General features: G+C 39.6%; 2 long non-coding RNA genes across 2 annotated transcripts in view, besides 1 other annotated feature; one reads left to right on the plus strand and one right to left on the minus strand.

The window, feature by feature from the left end:
* Nucleotides 1-23622, plus strand: part of CASC15 (cancer susceptibility 15) — a 529408-nt gene that overhangs the window by 457709 nt on the left and 48077 nt on the right. The window lies entirely within an intron of this gene.
* NBAT1 (neuroblastoma associated transcript 1) lies at nucleotides 10481-23072 on the minus strand. Its single transcript, NR_034143.1, has 3 exons — nucleotides 22919-23072; nucleotides 22558-22630; nucleotides 10481-12548 (listed from the first exon to the last, which is right to left on the minus strand). It is a non-coding gene; the product is annotated as a neuroblastoma associated transcript 1 (long non-coding RNA).
* Nucleotides 21097-21598: an enhancer, noted in NCBI's record as "NANOG hESC enhancer chr6:22145447-22145948 (GRCh37/hg19 assembly coordinates)". NCBI's record gives its function as "activates a minimal SCP1, AML or CMV promoter by ChIP-STARR-seq in naive H9 embryonic stem cells {active_cell/tissue: H9 hESC(naive)}" and the evidence as "EXISTENCE:reporter gene assay evidence [ECO:0000049][PMID:30033119]".

Raw genomic sequence — 23622 nt, forward strand, 5'->3', positions numbered from 1 at the left:
GATTAATTAGGTGATGGACATTCTGGTTTTTGTTGTTGCTGTTGGTATCTTTTCTGAATACCTAAACACTTCTTTGGCCAGGCGCGGTGGCTCACGCCTGTAATCCCAGCACTTTGGGAGGCCGAGGTGGGCGGATCACCTGAGGTCAGGAGTTCAAGACCAGCCTGGCCAACGTGGTGAAACCCCATCTCTACTAAAAATGCAAAAATTAGCTGGGTGTTGTGGCGGCCGCCTGTAATACCGGCTACCGGGGATGCTGAGGTAGGAGAATTGCTTGCAACCAGGAGACAGAGGTTGTAGTGAGCCGAGATCACACCACTGCACTCCAGCCTGGGCGACAGAGCGAGATTCCATATCAAAACAAACAAACAAACAAAAAGACTTCTTTTCCCTTTTAAATGCTTTAATATTTGGGTTTGAATAGACAGAATTTGAATCAAAGCCATTCTCTTTTACCTGGCACTTTTGTTTTGTTTTTGTTTTTGTTTTTGAGACAGGGTCCTGCTCTGTCACCCAGGCTGGAGTGCAATGGTGCAATCACATCTTACTGCAGCCTTGACCTCCTTGGCTCAGGTGATCCTCCCACCTCAGCCTCCTGGGTAGCTGGAACTATAGGCATGTGCCACCATGCCTGGTTAATTTTTTGTTGTTGTCGTTGAGACAGGGTTTCACTATGTTGCCCAGGCTGGTCTTGAACTCCTGGACTCAAGTGATTCACCTGCCTCAGCCTCAGGCTCCCAAAGTGCTGAGATTACAGGCATGAGCCACTGCACTGGCCTTACCTGGAACTTTTTCTTCAAACTTCCCTTCAGCCTACAAAGAGTCGTGTTACAAAACCTCTGAATCCAAATTCTGCCTCCTTACCTTGTCATGTCTTGGCATGAGTCTATGCATTAGTCTCAGACTGATTTGATTCATGTTAGTTGTGGCCACCTCATATGTATTTTCTTGTGTACAAGAATGGAGCCTAGTTTTATAAATGTGATAAAATGCACTGGATTTTTTTTTTCTTTTTTCTGGAAGGAATTTTGAAAGCTTGAACTGTTGTCTCCTGGAGTATGTTAGAGTATAGGAATGTCTCGAGATACCTGACTTTGTCCATGAACTTCTGCATATCCTTGATTATCAAATATCACACACCACAACTGAAAGTATGTTTTATGATCATTCATTAATCCTCTCCATTGCAAAGGCTGAGTGGCACATTTAAGAGGTTGGGGAACATGAACTGATGGGCACACTCCTTTTAACATTGCTTCATTATAAGGCAGATTGATTAGGGCCCCTGCTACTGTCCTGAAAATTGTACATGTCCTCTGGGTCCAAATTACTGTTACTCCTGTTTCACTCTGATTTTTTTGATGACTTTTAGTACCTCCTAGGTTTTTATTCAAGATCTCATGTGAACTTTCTGTATCTTATCCTTTCTGCCTTTGTGATGCTACCAATTAGATTATAGATAGAACATCACATCTGCTTGGTGCATCCCAGAATGGGCCCTATATACATTAATTATCCACTTTTCTGCCCCTGTTCAATCCTGATTTAGCAATAGCAATCTTATCAGATTGAAGCTTGCTGCTTTAAGCAATATCTTTGCAGGATATTTTCTTTTGGGTCTTGATTTCTATAGATGAGTCTAAAGGTTCTACCACCGGCATTAGCTCTCTGAAGGCATTTAAACAATGTTGTTAGTCTGTGGGCATGATGAGAACGTATACCTTACTACCATAGACATTAGATTGGCCTGTTAAGAGTCAACTTGCATAAATCTGCACAAAGTGATTTATCATGAGTAATTGTTAACTCAAAATTTTCTATAAATAGAGACTCAAGAGATTACAGAACCCATAGATGCTAATCAAGGTGGACTCTGGGAAAAATCTGAGAGGCAGGACTGGAAAGTGGTTATCATTTGCTAATCAGAAACATTATCGGAGTATTGTATCCTGTTTTGAAAAGGGCTATACAAATATAACCAGGTTAGCAACTAAGAAAATGTAGAAAAGGAAAGTCACAAAGGCAAATACTGTTGATGTTCATGTAAGCAAAGTCTGGTGGAGAGGAAGTCTTGAATAAAAGACTTGAACCTTACCAGCAAAACTACTGATAAATTTAGCATCTATTGTGCCAGGCATATGCTAAAAACTTTATCTGCACTATTCTCATAACTTCTTAAAAGGACTTTTGACCTACTGTTGCATTTTTTTCTTTCCAACTTTTGTTTTAGGTTCAGGGATCCATGTGCAGGTTTGTTACATGGGTGAATTACGGTCACTGGAGTTTGGTGTACAGATTATTTTGTCACCCAGTTAATAACCATAGTACCCAAAGGTGGTTTTTCGATCCTCACGCTCCACCCTCAAATAGGCCCTGGTGTCTATTGTTCCCCTCTTTGTGTCCATGTGTACTCACTATTTAGCTCCCACATCTAAGTGAGAACATGTGGTATTTAGTTTTCTTTTCCTGCATTAATTTGCCTAGGGTAATGGCCTCCAGCTGTATCCATGTTGCTGCAAAGGACATGATTTCATTATTTTTATGGTTGCATAGTATGCCATGGTGTATATGTACTGCATTTTCTTTATCCAGTCCACTGTTGATGGGCATTTAGGTTGATTCCGTGTCTTTGCTTTTGTGAACATTCCTGCAGTGAACGTATGTGTGCATGTGTCTTCATGGTAGAACATGTTATGTTCCTTTGGGTATATACCCAGTAATGGGATTGCTGGGTCAAATGGTAGTTCTGTTTTAAGTTCTTTGAGAAATCTTCAAACTGCTTTCCACAATGGCTGAACTAATTTACATTCCCACCAGCAGTGTATAAGTGCTCTTTTTCCTCTGCAACCTCACCAGCATCTGTTATTTTTTGCCTTTTTAAAAATAGCCATTCTGATTGGTGTGAGACAGTATCTTGTGGTTTTGATTTACTTTTCTATAATGTTTAGTGATGTTGAGCATTTTTCCATATGTTTGTTGGTTGCGTGTATGTCTTCTTTTGATAAGTGCCTGTTCATGTCCTTTGCCCATTTTTTAATGGTATTGTTTTTTGCTTGTTAATTTGTTTACATTCCTTATAGATCCAGGATGTTAGATCTTTGTTGGGTGCATGGCTTGCAAATATTTTCTCTCATTCTGTAGGTAGTCTGTTTACTCTCTTGATAATTTATTTTGTTGTGTAGAATTAGGTCCTGTTTGTCAATTTTTGTTTTTGTCACAATTGCTTTTGGAGTCTTTAAAATGAAATCTTTGTCATGGCCTATGTCCTGAATGTATTTCCTTTATCTTTTTCTAGGGTTTTTATAGTTTTAGGTTTTACATTTAAGTCTTTAATCCATCTTGAGTTGATTTTTGTACATAGTGTAAGGAAGGGGTCTAGTTTCAATCTTCTGCATATGGCTAGCCAATTATCCCAGCACCATTTTTTGAATAGAGTCCTTTCCCCATTGCTTGTTTTTGTCAGCTTTGTTAAAGATTAGATGGTTGTAAGTGTGCAGCTTTATTTTTGGGTTCTCTGACCTGTTCCATTGGTCTATGTGTCTGGTTTTTTTTGTTTGTTTGTTTTACAAATACCATGCTGTTTTGGTTATTGTAGTGTATAGTATAGTTTGAAGTTGGATAGTATAATGCCTCTGGCTTTGTTCTTTTTGCTTAGGATTGCTTTGGCTATTCAGCCTCTTTTTTGGTTCTGCATAACTTTTAGAATAGTTTTTTTTTCTATTTCTTTGAAAAATGTTGTTGATAGTTTGATAGGAATAGTGTAGAATCTGTAAATTGCTTTGGGCAATATGGCCATTTTAATAATATTGATTCTATTCTTGATCATGGAATGTTTTCCATTTGCTTCTATCATCTCTGATTTCTTTCAGCAGCATTTTATAATTCTTGCTGTAGAGATTTTTCACCTCCTTGGTTAGCTGTATTCCTAGGTTTTTTTTTTTCTTTTTTTCTTAATGGATATTGTGAATGACATTGCATTCTCGATTTGACTTGGACATTGTTGATGTTGATGTATTGAAATGCTTCTGATTTTGTACATTGATTTTGTACCCTGAAACTTTGCTGATTTATTAGATCAAGGAATCAATGAGCTTTTTGGCAGGGACTGTGGCGTTTCCTAGGTATAAAATCATATCATCTGTGAAGAGAGATAGTTTGATTGCCTCTCTTCCTATTTGGATGCCTTCTGTTTCTTTCTCTTGCCTGATTGCTCTGGCTACGACTTCCAGTACCATGTTGAAGAGGAGTGGTGAGAGTGGGCATCCTTGTCTTGTTCTGATTCTTAAGAGGAATGCTTCCAGCCTTTGCCCATTCAGTATGATGTTGGCTGTGGTTTGTCATATATGGCTCTTATTATTTTGAGGTATGTTCCTTCAATGCCTAGTTTGCTGAGGGTTTTTAACATGAAGAGATATTGTATTTTACCAAAAGACTTCCCTGCATCTATTGAGATGATCATGTGGTTTTAAATTCTATTTATGTGATAAATCACATTGATTGGTTTGCATATGTTGAAGCAACCATGCCTCCCAGGAATACCTACTTGATTGTGGTGGATTAGCATTTTGATGTGGTGCTGGATTTAGTATGCGAGCATTTTGTTGAGAATTTCTGCATCCATGTTAATCAGGGATATTGACCTGAAGTTTCTTTTTTTTGTTGTGTTTCTACCAGGTTTTAGTATCAGAATGACACTGGCCTCATTGAATGTGTTAGGGAGGAGGATTCCCTCCTCCTCAATTTTTTAGAATCTACTGTTGTGTTTTGAACTGTCAGGGATTCGTTCTAATAAATTTCTTATTACCAAGTAATTCAGTTATAAAGCTGGGATTTGAACCAAGGTTTTAGGGTTCCAAAGACTACAGTCTCACTAACTGTGCTATATAATTTTCTTGTACCAAGACTATTTGCTATAAGTAAAATAAACTTCTTATACTCCTTGAAGTACCCACTTAACACATAGAGTCATACAGCCATCAAGATAATCAAATCTCTCCTGCCACTTTGAAAACAATCCCTATATTCCTACTCTAAGTACCTGGAAGCCATTGCTCTGTCTTCCGTTCCCACCTACATTTTAAAAATGTATTTTTATTTTAAAATTATATTTACTTGTGTAAACTTAAGGGGTACAAGTGGAATTTTGTTATGTGCATTTATTGCATGGTGAAGTCTTGGCTTTTAGGGTAGCCATCATCTGAATAATTTACATTCTACCCACTAAGTTATTTTTCATCACCCACTCTCCTTCTGCACCCCGCTTTCTAGTCTCTAATGTCTATCTTTTTTTTTTTTTTTCATCTTCCCCTTACAAGCGGGAACATGCGGTATCTGACTTTCTGTTTTGGAGTTGTTTCACTTAAGATAATGGCCTCTCCGTCCATCCATGTTGCTCCAATACATGATTTTATTCTTGTTTTATGGCTGAATAGTATTCAATTATGTATATATACCATATTTTCTTTGTCCAGTGTTGATGAACACATAGGTTGATCCCATATCGTTGCTATTGGGAATAGTGCTGTGATAAATATAAGAGTGCAGGTATCTTTTTGACACAATTTCTTTTCCTCTGGGCAGACACATGGTAGTGGGATTGCTGACCTGAGTGGTAGTTCTATCTTTAGTTCTTTGAGAAATCTCCATACTGTTTTCCACAGAGGTTTTACTAGTGTATAAGAGTTCCCTTTTCTTCCCATCTTCGCCAACATCTGTTGTTTTTTGACTTTTTACTAATAGCCATTCTGACTAATGTAAGATAATATCATTGTGGTTTTAATTTGCATTTCTCTGATGATTAGTGATTTGGGGCATTTTTTTTCATATGCGGGTTTACCATTTGTATGTCTTCTTTTAAAAAATATCTATTCATGTCCTTTGCCCACTTGTTAATGGGGTTGTTTTTGTTGTTGTTGAGTTGTTTGCATTCCTTGTAAATTCCGGATATTAGTTTTCTGTCAGATGCATAGTTTGTGAATATTTTCTCTCATTCTGCAGGTTGTCTGTTTGCTCTGTTGATTATTTCCTTTGCTGTGCAGAAACCTTTTTATTTCATTACGTCTCAGTTTTTTATTTTTGTTTTTTGTGGCTTGTGTTTTTGAGGTCTTAGTCATGAATTATTTTCTTAGACCAGTGTCCAGAAGAGTTTTCTCTAGGTTTTCTTCTGGTATTTTTACAGTTTCAAGTATTACATTTAAGTTTTTAATTCATCCTGAGTTTATTGTTGTATATGGTGAGAGATATGGGCCTACCTACATTTTTTAATGTAAGGTTTACCAATCTGTGGCTGGCTTGGCCAGGGTAAAAATATGCATTGGTCAGATTAACAAAAATATCTGGTTGAATTGACAGTTGTACATCTCATTGTAAATTAATAGATTGACATTCTGATTAGAATTTCTTTCCGTGTTGTTTGCTTAGTAGGAGAGAATTAATTGACAGGTGTGTGTCTGCTTAAAAATACTCTTTTGTATAAAATAATAAAATGGCATATGCATATGTTTTTATATTTGTAGGAGGGATGAATATGATCATGGATATAAAAGTATAACTAAATATTAGACTACAATGCCTTCTTTAATTATGATTCAAATTTATATTGATAAAAATACTTATTGGTGACCAAAATCAGAAGCAAATATCCAAAATCGGATTGAGTTTCAGATTGGGTTTTGATATGGTTAGGCTTCGTGTCCCTATCCAAATCTCATCTTGAATTGTAATCCCCATAATCCCCGCGTATCAAGGGACAGACCAAGTGGAAGTAATTGAAGCATACTGATAGTGAGTGAGTTCTCACGAGATCTGATGGTTTTATAAGGGGCTCTTCCACCTTCACTTGGCACTTCTCCTTCCTGCCACCTTGTGAAGAAGATACCTGCTTCCCCTTTGCCTTCCATCATGATTGTAAATTTCCTGAGACCTCCCCAGCCATGCTGAACTGTGAGTCAATTAAACCTCTTTCCTTTATAAATTACTTAGGCTTGGGTAGCTCTTTATAGCAGTGTAAAAACGGACTAATACAGGTTTGTTTCAGTAAATGTTTTGAACACAAGTTGTTCAACCAATGACTGTTTATTGAACATCTTCATCAGGCTAGAAACTGGTTGAAGAGGTGGGGCATTGGATGGAGTGAAAAACATTCTTAGCTGAGAAAAACAGCAAGTGCGATGTGTCCGAAGTGAGAGGAACGTGGCATATGGAGTCATGAAGGAAGGCAGGGATAGCCAAAGAGAAATAAGGAAACCAATGGGTATGAGAGCAGAGTGGAGCATAGGCAGGGCTTGGATCTATTACTGGTTTCTGTGACATGTGTTATGAAGAGTATCATTTCACTGACTGGCTCTGCCCAAATATGTTTGACCATATTTACATCCCATCTCTCTCACTCTGGACTGCTGAAGAAGCTTACACTATCAACGTACTCCTTTTTTTTTTTTTTTTTTTTTTTGAGACGGAGTTTTGTTCTTGTCGCCCAGGCTGGAATGCAATGGTGCGATCTCAGCTCACTGCAATCGATGTACTTCTCTCATGTGTACTCAACTATTCCCTCTCAAATGAATCCTTTCCATTGACTTTCAGACTTGAATACAGCTCTCCCATCTCACCTGTAAACAAACAGCTCCTCCCTGACTCCTTTAGCTCCCTGCAGGTATTGCTTTCTTTCCTACTCTTTATAGCGAGATGTGCTGAAAGCACTTCCCTGTCTTCACTTTCTTGCCTTCCATGCACCCTTCTCTAATTTAGCTTCCAGCTTCATCAAAACAACTTTTACTTGCAATGACTGACTGTTGTCCATCCCATAGTCCTCTTCTTAGTAAACTTAACAGCATTAAATAAAAACTGTCTTCTTCTGGAGCACCAACTTCCCTTGGCTTCCAGGATAGCCCAGCCTCCTCCTCCTTCAGGTCTGGTGATATACTCTCAGTCTTGTCTGCCAGGAATCAGTTACTAATACTGGCAACGTCAAAATCCCTCTTCTTTTTTACCCCCTACCGTCTCCAAAGTTGGTTTCAACGCCCTTCCTTGGCTTGCTATGAGAATGACATAGGCTAGTTATAGGATCTGCTCATTTAATAATTGTGAGGATATAATGAGTTCATATATGGAAAGTACTTAAAGTAATGCCAGGCAAATGATAGTTGCCCCTTGAGTCGATAGCTGTAGTTACAATTTGTGGATGAAACCTGAATGACATCAGTCCATACCTATGTATTCAGTGGCCTATAACTATCTCCATATTCAACTCTAAAGGCACATCAAACTCAGTGTATCCAAGACCAAATGTATGTCATTCTTGTGCTTCATCCTGACAAAAATAAACCTGGTCTCTCCTAGTGTGTCCTGCTTCAATGAGTGGTCCAACCATTCTGTCATTTGCACAAGCCAGCAAAGTAATTTGGCCCACTAAATTTCTATGAAAAGCTTCCATTTCTCAACATTCCCTCTGCCAGCACAATAGCCAGAGATACCATCATCTCTCTTCTGAGTTCTATAAAAAGAGATTGCCTTGTTTTCATTCTGTCGACTCATCACCCCCTATAAGTTCTCCCCCCAACCCCCATTGCCAGAATGCTTATTTCAGAAGACCACCCTGAGCCCCCCTTTGCTTCCAGCCTTTCCATGGCTTCCCGTGACTCTCAGGATAATGACCAAAATCCTTCACATGGTTTGCCAAGCCCAGCCTCTGAGGACTGTCCCACACATCTCCCATCCCACCTCCTGCTGTTCTCTCCACTCCAGCTGTGCATGTCACTTTCAGCTGCTCACACACACTTTACTCTCCCTGACCAGAGGATTTGTACATGCAATTCATCATGCTGGAAAGCTCTCTCCACCTTTATAAGCAATGTCTTATGCATCCATTATCACAGCTCAAACCTCTCTTTTTCGGGGAAGACTTTCTTGACCTCCTAGTCTACTTCAGGTTACTATGTTATAAACTCCCACAAACTATATTCTTCTTCTTTAGAATATGTACCTCATTTTTTAATTGTAGTATTGTGTTGGGGATCCCCAAGATAATTCTCAGGCTCAGTGATTTGCTGGAAAGACTCACAGGACCCAAAAAAGCTGTTATACTCATGGTTAAAGTTTATTACATTGAAAGGATACAGAAAAAACTCAGCGAAGTGAAAAGGTGGATAGCGTGGAGTAGAGGAGAAATTAAGCACCAGCTTCCAGTTGTCCTCTCCCAGTGCCATTACATGGAGTACACTTAATTTTCTCAGCAACAACGTGTGACAACATATGTAAAGTGTTGCCAACCAACGAAACTCACTTGAGGCATGTGTCCAGGGTTTTTACTGGAGGTCAGTCATGTAGGCATGCAGCACCTTAGCTACCAGTCTTCAGGCCTCAGATCAAATTGGTACAGCATGATCCAAAGCCTCAGGCATACAAAAACAGGTGTTTGCCATAAATCACACTGTTGGCATAAACTCCTATCTCAGCCAAGGGCTCAGAAGTAATCTTCCCAGGAGCCAGGCCAAGACCAGTCTTGAGACTCTGGGAATACGCAAGGTTTGAGCAGCCCAGGCCTGTTGACGTAACCCTTTCCTGCACAAGTGTCAATAGTGCCATTCTTTGATTAATGTCTCTCTTCCTGCAGACTACATGAAAGCAAAATTTGTAACTGTGTAGGTAATATACCTAATCTTCAGCACAGCTGCTGATAATTGGAGGTACTCTGTAAATTTTTGTTGAATAAATGAATGAATAAAATCTTCTGATTGTCTTTATCTCCTTCTAGTCTATACTGTGTTCTATACCTTTCTGCCCTATAGCTTTCAGACACTTCTTTATAATGGAGTCTTGTCATGCATTTTATACGTAAAGTTACTTTTGTGTTAATGAGTAATATGTAGTAAGTACTTAAAATATTTATTTTATTACTCTAATTCCCAATTATATCCCTATACCTCCAGGCATTATTCTGTCTACATATTAAACTTTAAACTGGCAAATGTTTTTCACAATTATACTTGAAATATATGTATAATTATGAAAAACATTTATATATCAGATTATATGATACCACATAATCTGATTATATATCACATATATCAGATTATGTGATATCATATAATCTGATATGTTTTTCACGATTATATATATAATATCAGTGTATCAGATTATGTGATGCCTACTTATAAGCACCAAAGTTATTTCTAAGAGAATGAGTTAATGATCCAACATCTGCCTTAAGAATTCTAGTAAACAAATTATGCTTAACTTTGAAGCTACTGACTATATATATTGAATTTTATCCTGGATATATTAGAAATATAGGAAGAAAGTTTCCTGGAATGAGGAGGTATATCCCCATTTTCTCTGTGAGATGGAAGAGCAAATATGTCCTGATGATCCGTAGTTTCTTAACCTTCAAAGTCCACATGACGTCACAGTGCTTTGCTCCATCCAGAATCTCTGTTTAGCCAAGGTCAAGAGGTGTCAGGCCCATTTTAGCAACGAATTTGAATGCATCTCCATTAAAAATTTCTTTATTGTGTTAGTATTGGATTATAACCCAAAGTATAAAAGAAATACCCATGAGTCCATACTGATATAAAAAAAGATCAAATAAATAAATAACTGGGAGAGTGAGATGATTTTCCTATGCAGAAGAATGCCAAACAAATTATGTAGATTTTCTGCTTACAAATGGGTGGAGCATAACTTCCCACTCCTTAAATTTGGGATGCATATAGTGACTTTCTTCCAAAGAGTACAGTACAGAAAAGTGGGTGATGAGAAGAGTAACTTTACAGTGAAGAAACATGACAAACACTACCACAGCCAGGCAATCAAAGTTCACATCAATAGTATAAGGCATGCTGATGGTATGTACCTTTAATATAATTTGGTGAGAATGGTACTTCACCTCTGTGGTCTTCCTCCCCAAAACCCATAACCCCAGTCAAACCCTAAGAAAAACATCAGCCAAACTCAAATTTAGGGCATTCTGCAAAAATAACTGACTGACTAGTACTCCCTCAAACTGTCAGGGTCACCAAAAACAAGGAAAGTCTAAGAAACTCACAGCCAAGAGGTACCTAAAATGACAAATAAATTCAATGTGGTGGCCCGGATGGGATCCTGGAACAAAGAAAAAGAATGTTAGCTAAAAACTAAGGAAATCTAAATAAATGTATAGGCTTTAGTTAATAATACTCTATTGAATATTCATTAGTTGTGACAAATATGAGAGGTTAGTAATAGGAAAAAAATGGGAACTCTGTGTATCTTTGAAATTTTTCTGTATATCTGAACTATTCTAAAATTTTAGTACCACTAAAGGTTTTTATTACATAATAGTGTTTTAATTTAATCTCCATGCTATTTAATGAAATTTACCAGTTGTATTTGTGTTTGATTAGACATTATCTCAAGTTGATTGGAATTACTCATATTTCTTAATGCCATTGTTGCAGCTGTAATAAGGTTGACTTTTCTACAATAGACACAGAAATCATTACATCACCATTTAATTTTTGAAAAATAATCCGATCCCCTGTGATTATAAACTTGAGATTCTTTAAGAAAGTAGAAAGGTTGTAAGATATTATGAGTCATAGGATATTTCCAGTTTTGAAGTAATAAGACAAAAATCATTAACTAAACAAATTGGCATTAAAAAAAAACAGTATTTTTGAGAGGACCAGTCCAGACAATGTGTCTGTAAGATAGACTTTACAAACTTAGTTTGATTAATTTTTGTTTTTCCGAGGATATGATTCTTTTCTATAATTACTGTTCTGTTTTTTTCTGACAGGCTATCAAATATTGGCTGCCTTAAGCTCTCTGTGAACTGAGTTATTCTCAATAATACTCTGTATTATGAAGGCATTATTTGAGTGGCTGTCCACTGTGATCTGGTTATTTGGAGCTTTACATAAAACAGGTGGTTCTTGCATCTCATTGACATTTCTTATTATCCAGAATTCACCATCCTTTTTCTATGGCTCATCATATGCAGGCCATCACAGACAGGGCCCTATCCTATGGTTTGCCCGAGTTTATTTGGTTTTTCATTTACATTGTGGTCTTTTCTCTTAGATACTCCAAGTTTGCATGTTTTTGGACTTTATCAAGGCTCTTGCTATATGGTTATGTGTTTATTTACACTGGGAATAATTCCCAAAAGGCTTTGCAATAGCTAATTGTATTTGTTTGGCTCTGTGAGATGACCCAGGCACCTCCGATTCCAATCAGAGGGGCCACTTACTTTGAGTGGACATGAGGCTGATGCCCAGAACCAAAGAGGAAGCAGCCTCTGATCCATGATCCTATAGTCACAGTGCTGCTCAATCGTGCCGTTTCTGCTGACCCAAATGCCTGGAGTTGACCCTGTTTGTCTCTCCAAACCTCTTTACTGGTTTTCCTTGACTTAGATGATGCTTTGAACTTGATCTGTTGTACTATGACTGTAATTCCAAGAGCACAGGCTTTCCCGTCATGTAGAGCAATATCCAAATCCTGCCTCAATCGTTTGTTACCTTTTGATCTTGAGGATGTTACTTCATCTCTGTGGGTTTCAGTTTCTTCATCTGTCAAAGGAGAATAACAGCACACTGGCAGAGTTGTTATAACAATTAGATAAAATGTTTCTAAAACTCCTTTAGAAAGCCTGGTTCTGTATCATGGACACTAACTATGAGGCCTGAGCAGATTCAAGAGAGGGATCTGCCTTTGATATGGTTTTGGGTGTTAGGGGTCAGGTGGGAGAAGAGAAAAAGAAGGAAGAGATACAAGGCAGAGTAATGGACTCTGGGGCAAGAATTGTGGAGCCTCACTACCTGAATATGCAGCCTGGCTCTCCCATGTGTTAGCTGTGTGGCCTTCGTGGTTATTGAACTTCTCTGTTGCTGCACTTTTCTCATCTATAAAATGGAGATTGAAATAGTGCCTAACTCAGTAAATGCGAAGTGCTCAGAGCAGTACCTAACATGTAGTACTAATTGTCCAGTATTAGTAGATTTACTCTTTTCCCAGGGTTTTACACTTTACATTTAACTACACCTGATAATCCGCTTACTGATCAATACGTCTTTTTGCAGCCTCAGTAACCTAAAAGTATTAAGATCATTTTGGCCTTTTTAGTATACTCGTATAAACAAAAGTTTCTCCTTTCAAAGAAGTCATATGAAGAGGTGCTACATTTATGTCACTACATCAACATATTTGAATAATTATTTTTAAATTTTCCTTAGATTCTGAAAAAAGAGATTCTTTTCAGTATCCTCAGTAATAACAAATCTTTGTCCTTGAATACAGAGTATCAAAAATTAAGCCAACTCTATTAAGATAAGTTATCTATGCAGATACTATCTTCTATATGTATAATTTTGCATACTTGTACAGTTAGATATACTTTATAACTTTATAATCTCAATAAAACATACACATATCTATTTATATATAAACTGTGAGTGAGTGAGTGTGTGTGTGTTTGTGTGTTTTGGGAAAGGGAGTATCAGGAACCAGTGTTTAATGTAAGCTGAACTATTTTCATGAACATAAATTCAATCATTGAGTCACAGCTCATATGAAAAAAATCACATGTGATTTATTGCATGTTTCAGAGCTTTTAAAATAAAGCCTAATTAGATTTTTGACCTTATGGGATGAATTCTACATAAAGCATGCATTGAGTCTAATGGAGTAAAAAATGAACATCTTTTCTTTCCAGTTCTGCCGTCCTTTTCCTCCCTTCCATATACCTACATCCTATAGACACCATAATACTATAGCACTGATCTTGGAGGAACCTGCAGAAAAGGCCATCAAATGCAGTGGGGGCGGAGGGGGTGCTGTACTTCAATAAGACACTCAATCTAACCTTGGGCATAAGCGTGCCTCCTCTTTGCCTGAGAAAGCTTTACTGCTTTAGCAGCCAGTGATATATCTGTATGCATTTGGCATCCTGAACGTGGCCACTTTAATTATTTTAAGGTTTCCTCTAAAAGTCTGCCTTGCTACTTGAATGGAGATGTGGTCATTTGTGCTAATTGCATTTTAGAATCTCTATTTTATTGGTTACAATAAGCTAATGTTTACAACTTTTGTTCATATCAAATGCCATTGGGCACTTAATTATGTAACAATTTGCTACCTAGGTATATTTTGCAAACATCAAAAGGCACCAGTCCATCTCCACATCACTATGTCTGTACTATGTGTGCATCATATAGCTGTGGCTTTTTTTTTCAGGCTCATTGAAGTGCTGCATTCCCACTGCTACTGAAGCCCAGGGTCTTGGCTTGAGAGCCCTCTGCCTGATGCCCAGAAAGGGATTTGAGACTGAGACAATATTGTTGCACTAGGGTCTTTGCCATGAAGCTTTTAAGAATGAGAGAAACTAAGATACAATATGACTTGTGGATCTCCAGGATCATACGCTGCTTGGATAGCTTACTTGTTGAAAGCAGGGGATCTTCAAAAGCCAAAAAACATGCCTCCTTTCTGACATATGGGCAGAGAGCCTAGACACTCAGAGACCTCTTCTATTTTACAGAAGATGGCGCTGAGGTCAGGATGGTGAAGGAACATGCACAGAGAAAGGCTGGGCCAAAACTGGGCCCAGATTTTGAGAAAATGAAGCCCACTGTTCCAATTTTTATTTTATTTCTTTTGATCTAAGAGAAAAACTGCATAGTCTAGTAATATACTTAGTAAAAAGACCAACTATTGTACTCTGTGAAGTTAATGTTATGAGGGTTGGATGTGTCTTAGAATCTGATCATGGAGTTAATTTTACTGTATTGCAAGATTTTAAGATGAGCTGGTGTTCTCTTGTTATGCCCATATGCCATCATTCCCTCCCCCCTCACCCAGAATGTGAATAGTATTCCCATTGTGGGAACTGCTGATTGACATCAAGGCACTCTGTTGTCATGGCTCTAGTTTAAAAATGTGAAAGAAACTAGATCTTTTCAACCTAAAGGTTCTCTCTGTATAGTTAATTAAAGACATTTTAAGAAGACATTTGGATTATAGGAAAGTGATGATATCACGTTATGACATTTATTCCTTACCCCAAGAATCTCAGTAATTGGTTCACCTATTCAAAACTGTTATTTTATCAGAGGGTAAAGATTCCAGGACCCCCAGTCAGACTTATCTAATTTCCCTAATTGGCATATTAAAAAAAAAACTCTGGACACAAGAACTTTCTGATTTGTGAATATGCCATTCACTCACTTAAGACAAAATTTAATGTAAAACTTATCTAATGTTAATGAAAGTCTATAGAAAATTTTAGCCGGGGCTTAACCACTGGCTAATATACAATTTATTTCATTGTATTAAAGAATAGATTTACAAATTTCATTAGAATTCCACAGAAATATAAACTATTAGAATGCGGTACAGCGCAGGGTGTGTATTGAGATTCTCACTTTACAATGAAGGAAACTATAGCTTGGAAAAAGATAAAATGACCTTTCTATAATTATATAACAGATAAACATATAGTCCATAGCAATATAGATACCAGATCCCACAGCTTTTGACTTCTAGTCCAGTATTTTTCCTACTAGGCCAGGGTATTTTATGTAATCAGAGTTATTTTATTCTATGCAGTGCTGTTGTGATAGATGAAAAACAGAAGGTGTACTCAATGCCTTCTAAGAACTTCTGCTCTCATAAGTCTCATATCTTACCATGGATAGATATGTGTATTTACAGGTTTATCTATGACTCCTTCAAGAATAACTTACTACTACTTCTTTCCTTTAAAACAATTTTTTTTTTTCTTTGAGACAGGGTCTCACTCTGTCACCTAGCCTGGAGTGCAGTGGTGCAATCATGGCTCTCTGCAACCTCCGCCTCCCAGGCTCAAGTGATCCTCCCACACTCAGGTGATCCTCCCACCTCAGCCTCCTGAATAGCTGGGACCACAGGCACACACCACCATGCCTGGCTAATTTTTGTGTTTTTGTAGAGACGGGGTTTCAGCATGTTGCTAAGGCTAGTGTCAAACTCCTGAGCTCAAGTTATCTGCCCCCGGCCTCCCAAAGTGCTGGGCTTACAGACATGAGCCACTATGCCTGGCTTAAAAATGTTTTAAAATATACCTAAAATCTGATCAGATGTGGTAACCAAAACCAATAACAAAACAAAACCAGTCAAATTAATGCACAAAGACATTGTCTGAAGATGGTAGAAATGTGATTTAGGTGAAACTGTATGAATAAAGGCACAGGTGAGCCCAGTAAGAGTCACCAACATGAGGTACCCACTAGGAAAGCAAGTGCAGGTTAGTCTGCACTAAATGAAATGTGATCAGTTTGAATGATGGAAGTAATAGGACTATTTTGCTTTGTGTAGCCACATGATGGGACCTTGTGTTATGTTTTGTGTGACACATCATTCAAAGCACTACCGATCAACTGGAATGTATTCCTAGGCTCAGAAATTGAATGTTGAATAGACTTGAAGTCACAGAGTAATGTCTAAAGAAGTTGCAGATATTTTGTGTAGAGAAGGAAAATCTGGATGGGGGATGATAGATGCCCTCCAGTAACTGAGGAACCATCATGGGGAAGTCACACTAGATTGAGCTCCCAAATCAAGGGCTAATAAACAGAAGCTCCAGTGAGGCTCCTACTGTCATAGAATAGGACATTTTGGCTCAGAGGTTTTTCTTTTCTTTTCTTTTCTTTTTTTTTTTTTGAGACAGAGTCCCACTCTGTCACCCAGGCTGGAGTGCAGTAGCGTGATCTTGGCTCACTGCAACCTCCGCCTCCTGGGTTCAAGTGATTCTCATGCCTCGGCCTCTTGAATAGCTGGAATTACAGGCGCATGCCAGCACGCCTGGCTAATTTTTGTATTTTTAGTAGCGACAGGGTTTTACCATGTTGGCCAGGCTGGTCTCAAACTCCTGACCTCAGGTGATCTGCTCGTCTTGGCCTCCCAAAGTGCTGGGATTTCAGGCATGAGCCACCGCGCCCGGCCTTAGCTCAGGGTTTTAAATACTGAGGCTGTTGCATTCAAAAGATGGAATGGCTTGTCTGTCTCCCAGGGCACTGCGTTTATAGTCACCAGAGGTGTTCCCCTTGAGCCTGGATGATTACATGGAGGAGGTTTTAAAGGGCAGCATTCACAATTTAGATTTGCAGTTGGACCAGATGACCTTTAAGGTGCTTTCCAGCACCTGGGGTTTTATGATTCTATTTCTATTATGCATCTACGCTGGGTATGTGTCACATTGTTTGAAGCAAACACTGAGAATGAACAGGAGCACAGTGTGGAATGTTGATGGCGCTCACATCTATTTTGTGTTTCAATTTCTGGAAGCAGTCTTTGTCTTTGAGGCAGTTTGGTCCCTGACCTTCTGTAACATTTGGAGCCCAGCCACACTGTCTTTGTTTACTGTAAAGAGCATGGAAAAACCGACTTCCTGACAGTGCTCTGCAAAGTCTAAGGTCAAACCACTCACAGGTGAACAAACACAGTTCTTCCACCTTAAACTTGCCATTTGGTCCCTGTAAAATGGACGAGGGTAATAACGCTGGACAGCAGAGAGAGGGGAAATCAGTCCTCTGCCAGCAGCCAGCAATTAGTCACTTTGTCAGTCTGCTTTGGGAAGGGCTCATCTTAATTCAGCATCCATTTTGAAGAGGTTAGAAACCATGACATGCAGTTTTAAGTCCTCTAGCAACTCTGCTAAATAAACCTATAGACCCTGCCTTTCTTGACACTATCAGCACATCATTAATATTTCCCAGGATTGCACAGATAAAGCATAGCATTCTTATTCACTTAAAGGATTGAAGAGTCACATTCACTGAATATTCACATCATGCAAGCCATTTCTGCTATGGTAAGATCTCTAAGGTGGGTTGGCTCCCTGTCAAGAGAGCATACCCTTCTTTTTTTTTTTTTTTTTTTTTGAGACAGTGTCTTGCTCTGTTGCCCAGGCTGGATGGCAGTGGCATGATCATGGCTCACTGCAACCTCTACCTCCTAGGCGTAAGTGGTTCTCCCACCTCAGCCTCCTGAGTAGCTAGTACTACAGGTGCACACCAAAACACCCAGCTAATTTTTGTACTTTCTTTGGTAGAGATGGGGTTTTGCCATGTTGCCCAGGCTGGTCTCGAACTCCTGGGCTCAAGCAATCCACCCACCTTGGCCTTCCACAGTGCTGGGATTACAGGAGTGAGCCACTGCACCTACCCTGCCTCCCCTGCTATTTTTTGCTCTCATCAAATGCAATAGCTTCCCTCTGTAAAAGGAAGGGAAGTGTCTTCCTGGGTAAGTGTATTGTAAGCTCTTTAAGGGCCCTAGACAATGCCTACCACACTGTCTTAGATTAGCAGGTCCACATAATGCATTTGTGTGAACATCATTGAATCAAACAATGACCTTGCTCACACATTTACCCCCTTTACTCAAAATCACTTATTTGTGAGATCCAAGTTTTCTTCTTACTATTTAAAGATTATTAGAGTTGATCTAAAGTGATATAAATGAAAATATTGCCAACATAAATTCACATTTTTCTTTTCTCTTGGAATAAATTCAGCTTTGGCTGTATTTTTTTTTTCTCTTGTTCTTTTTTTTTTTTTTTTTTTTGGTCTGTGGTGTAAGCAGGCTCTTGAAATGCCCTAGTTATCTAACACTGCTCTTGAACTCCACTTACAGATGATATACTAGCCTTTTACTAAAATATATCTGGGTATTAAAAGCTCAATTCTTTACTGCTGATGAGAAAGATTATTAACACTTTTTTTTCCCCAGCTATAATATGAGGCAGTAACACCCCTTTTTACTTCCAGAGCCAGAGGCAGTATGTCACATTAACCTTCATTAACTGCCCAAGAAATGAGGTACGTTCGTTAATTTAGTATTCTGGTTAGCTAAAATTGTGTGAGAAGGCTGATAAACGTCTGTGGTTTCTCCCTGTGCTATTAAAAAAAAAAATAAAAGAATGTTAAAGTATGTTAGCCCGCTTATCTTATCATCTTGGTAAGTTCAACATTCTGATTAGGGGGCAGATCTGGACAGGATGAGTCTACAGCTGGTGGGCAAGGATGGGGGTCGCTGGGGCAGGGTAGAGGAAACGCAGCCTGACTGAGATCAGCCTGAGGAAGAGCATCTGAGGCGTGTGGTGGGGGAAATCAGGTAGCATCTGAAAAGCAAGCCAAAGGTGGAAAGAGAAAACAAATTCTGTTTATATATAAGTAATGGCATGATGGAAGCCAACCCACCTAAGCCACTCAGATACCCTGTGAATTACTAAATTCACTGTAGAGATTTTTGTTATATGTGGCGTCATCACTTCTGATGTTCCCATTTCTACCTTCATCACCTTCATTTATTCATTACTTTAAAAAGGCATATCAAGCATTTTGCTAGCTACTGGGGAAAAAAAGATGAACGACACAACTCCTAAGCTCAGGAACCTGCGTTCTTTCTTCAGCTGAGCTTTAAAAAATGTAGAGTCAGCTTTACCATCACCTCTTCTCTGTTTTCCAAGAATACCGCAATAATGTCATTTCTTCATAACACCTCCAGAATCCATCTCAATTTTCCTTTCACCGCTACCAAGATTTGGGCACCATTCCCTTTTAGCCAGGCAATTGCAGAAGCCTCTTGATTAGTCTCCTTATACCCAATCCCTTCCTCCCCCATCAATCTTAGATTTGGCTACCGGACTTATTATCCTACAATTTGGTTGTTGGTCCCAATGTTTATGAAGAGGGTAATAGCTTTATATTGTGGCTCTCCTCAACCTAGTCCCGCTTCTACAGAACTAACACCCTACTTGATTCCTTCATCCACCTTCAGACATATGCATGTATTTTCACCTACCTGGTCTCCCTCCCACAATTTTTTTCATTTCCAAAGCAGGACAGCACGGTGGTTAAGACCACGCACTCGGGGGCCAGATATGCTTTACTACTTACTTGCTGTGTAGTTTGGGCAACTTATTTAACCTCCCTCTTGTGCTTCTGTCTGTGTATCACTGAAAATAACTTATTAAAAATATTTTCTCATAAAATTAAGTAGGTTAATGTACCTAAAATGCTTAGAATAGATGCTGGCACATAGTAAGTGCTAATTTTTAGCGACTGCCATTGCTATTGTTGTTAATACCTAAATCCTGCCCTACTCCCTGGCCCGATATTTTATAGCTCACTGCAAATCCCAGAGAACTCGGGGAACCTCCGCAGACATTTAGGTAGAAGTGTTTGTTCCCTTTTCAGCCCATCTGTGGTACCACTTATCTGACCCACACTTAGCAAGTGGATTGAGACTTACTAATTATTTTCATGGGAAATAAAACCTGAAGAAATGACTAGCAATAAAAGATAATAAATGGTTAGTAATGATTGATAGAAAAAAGTAGCACAGGCTCTATAGAGTATGTTCTCTGAGGGCAGGGACAATGCTTCGTGTGTCTTTGTTTCTTACACAATGCTTTATGCGTTGTTATTAACAAAATTGAGCCCCCATTTTTTTTTCTGATTCAATGGAGGATGTGATCAGAAGATCATTAATAGACCAATCTGTTTAAATAGACAATGAATAATCAGATAATAGATTGTCTTGACTGGTAGTGTATGAACGTGAAGAAATAAGGAGCCACCTTGGTTTTGGACAAAGGGTTGTCTAACCCATCTGGACAGTAGTTCTGGACATCATGAATGTGGTGGTTTGGTACGATTAGTTTGGTGGCAGGCTGCCAAATGGAATGAAACAAAAAGAGGGTGACCAGATTGGAGATCATTGGGTGGGAGGGTATGAGAACCTGAGCTTGGACTCTAGGAATGAATGGAGAAGAAATCTTAAATCCAAGGGCAGATGGTAAAGAAACAATATATAGGATTTGGGAGATCATAGAGGATGTTGAAAAGGCAAGGGTAAAAAGTGACTGCTGGATCTCTTCCTTGGTTAACTTTGGAGAATTCAAATTGGGAAAAGGTTGTCTTGAAGGACAAAAGATGTGTGCAGTTACTGGACCTTGAGCTCCAAGATGGCAGAGACCATGCATCTCTTGCTCATCATTGGAACCCCAGGGTCTGGGACCATCCTTGACACACTTATACAGTGAGAGGCTGAAAGGGCATCTCAAATGAATTAAAGGCCACTTACCTTGATATCTACACAGTCCAATAAGACATGTTGTAGACAATTACCTCCCACCTGTTTAATGATTCTCCGGTTCTAGTTAGCCGGCATAATCAATTTTGCTAAAAAGGTATACCTCTCACGTCTTGGGAAGGACGTCCCAAATAGGCAACTTACTTAATTCCAGGATGAGTGACAGAATCTACAGACCCTGAGGCCATCTCACTTGTACTTGCCTTAATGTAACTAGTAAAGCATACCTGGCAGTGCAGCACCTCCACAGGAAGGTGCTCCAGAAAGCAATTGTTTGCTCTCACCCTGCTGAGAAGTAGCAATATCCATGTGGCTTAAGGGCTGTAGCTGCAGCCATGAGCAGTGTTAGAAAAATATCACCACCATTTGCCAGCATGAGATGCCAAACTGCAAATAAGAGACATGTCGATTCAATGAAGCAGAAACATTTCACTTGTTTTTAAGATTACTTGCGAGAACTTTATTGCTATGTGTTTGTCTGCCTTTAAATAAGAAATTGCATTTTTAAAAAACCATCTCTTCTCTTCTCCCTACAAAGGGACGAGGCTTTCCTACTCGGGTGAATATTGCCTGTGCTGCTTACCGAAGAAAGGGAGCAGTCTTGGCAAGCATCTTATTAGTCTAAAAATAAATTATTCAGAATGCAGGTTCAGATACAGATTGCAGGGAGAGATAATAGAATAGGTTTTCCAAGCCTGATCATGCTATGAAGACGTGGTGTGTGCTTTTCAGGAATCCACTTAAGTGGAATCAGCTTTGACTAATACATACTAGAAATAATATTGCTGCCATCCAGCTAGTGTCTGTGGTACAGCATCCTCAGAATGTCTTCAAGTATCCACGGCCTCTTTAGTCTCTGTAAGTGCGCATATGTAAAAGTGTATATGTATTCCCAAGCAAGCTTCAGAGGCATGCTTCTCATTGTTCTTTTAAGGAAATGTCTTCCTGGCCGCCTGAGAGGGGCATGTCTCACTTGAGGTTTGTCTCCCTCCTGCTCCCCCTGCCTGGGTGAAATAGTTGACCACATCAGCAGCCGACTGCAGTTTGTCATGTGGTTTCTCATGTGATGCTGGGTCTGCAGCACTTGGGAGCAAGAGTCTTTGTGACTGGCACTCATGGACAGACAGTGGTGTTCAGGGACAGAACAGATTTTGGAGGGGGTGGGGAGGCCAATAAACCAAGAAACGTCAGAAATAAAAGTCGCATGAAGTACTCTGATCTCTGTATTTCCTTTTTTTTTTTTTTTTTTTTGAAATTTGATTTTAACTCTTGCTTTTTTTTATGGTTTGTGTCTGTTTTTTCCACCCCCGCTGGCGCCGAGCTGCGCTGTTTTGTGTTTCTTTTTTTTTTTTTTTTTCTATTTTTTTTTTTTAAATTCTGAAGCCAGACCGTCTTTCCTCACAGCTCCACGGCTGCATCTCCGTGGGCACGCAAGCTTCCCCTGGTTACCTGAGCTGCTCCTGCCGTCTCCCGCCTGGGCTTCGCCGTGGTGCACCCGATCCCGGAATCGTGCGTCTGCGCCCTGCGAAAGAAGGACCTGCTGGCGGAGCTCCGGCCGGGGTCTCCTGCCTCGCAGCTGGGCGAGGGGACTTGGAGGACAGGGTGAAGCTGCAGAAGACCTGGGGTGGGATGGCTAGAGAGGACGCCAAGGACTGGGGAAGGGGAAGTTAGGAATACCTTACATCCAATGCCCACCCGTGCTCCGCAGGGCAAGGGCAGCCGTCGCCTCGGCCGCGTGCACCCAGCTCAGGCTGTTCCCAGGGATTTAGTCTGGGGGGACAACCCATGGCGAGATGTGGTGGCATTTTACCTCAGAGTGGAGCTGAAGATGGATAAACAAGGTATCTGATGTATCTGCCTGAGAAGGCAGAGCTGGAGAAAGGCGGAGCGAGGGAGCGCGTGAAAAGAAAGAGATGCCGAATGCCGGGTGATTGTCTGCCGCTTGCTGTGCATTCTCATTCTAGGGAGGATGGCATAATTTATAACCCAGCACATGGATAGAGGAACTGTAAATTGTAGTCTGGATGTCCCCGGCGCTGTCGACGAAGGAACTGATGGGCTAGGTGACTGTACCAGTGTCCCCAGAGAAAATCGCAGCCTCGCAGCATGGATTTAAATGCATGTGCATGCATGTAGAGACATGAAAAAAGGTTTCTGACCATTTTACACAGGAAGTCTGTCACTTTGCTGGATCGGGCTTGATTGCAGCTTGTGTTTTCAGCTCCAGTTCAACACCCATTTCCTGACTAGTGAGACAGCATGGCCAAAGCAGCTGCATGCAGAATTTTCTTTTTACTGTGAAAGCAAGCCCCCTCTGTTTTAACTCCTTCCAGTTCTGAATGCTCTGTGCTTTGCTAGGACCGATTGTGGGGTTTTGTTTTCTTCTTCTACAAATCCCTGTAAACACAGCTGTATTCAGTAATGGCAAAAAAATTCTATCCTGTAAATAGAAATCTGATCAATTTAATCAAAATAAATGTATCCCAGATGACTTTGAGACCAGCTGGCTACCAC

The sequence above is a fragment of the Homo sapiens genome, chromosome 6, assembly GCF_000001405.40.
Source record: "Homo sapiens chromosome 6, GRCh38.p14 Primary Assembly".
NCBI classification, from domain to species: domain Eukaryota; kingdom Metazoa; phylum Chordata; class Mammalia; order Primates; family Hominidae; genus Homo; species Homo sapiens.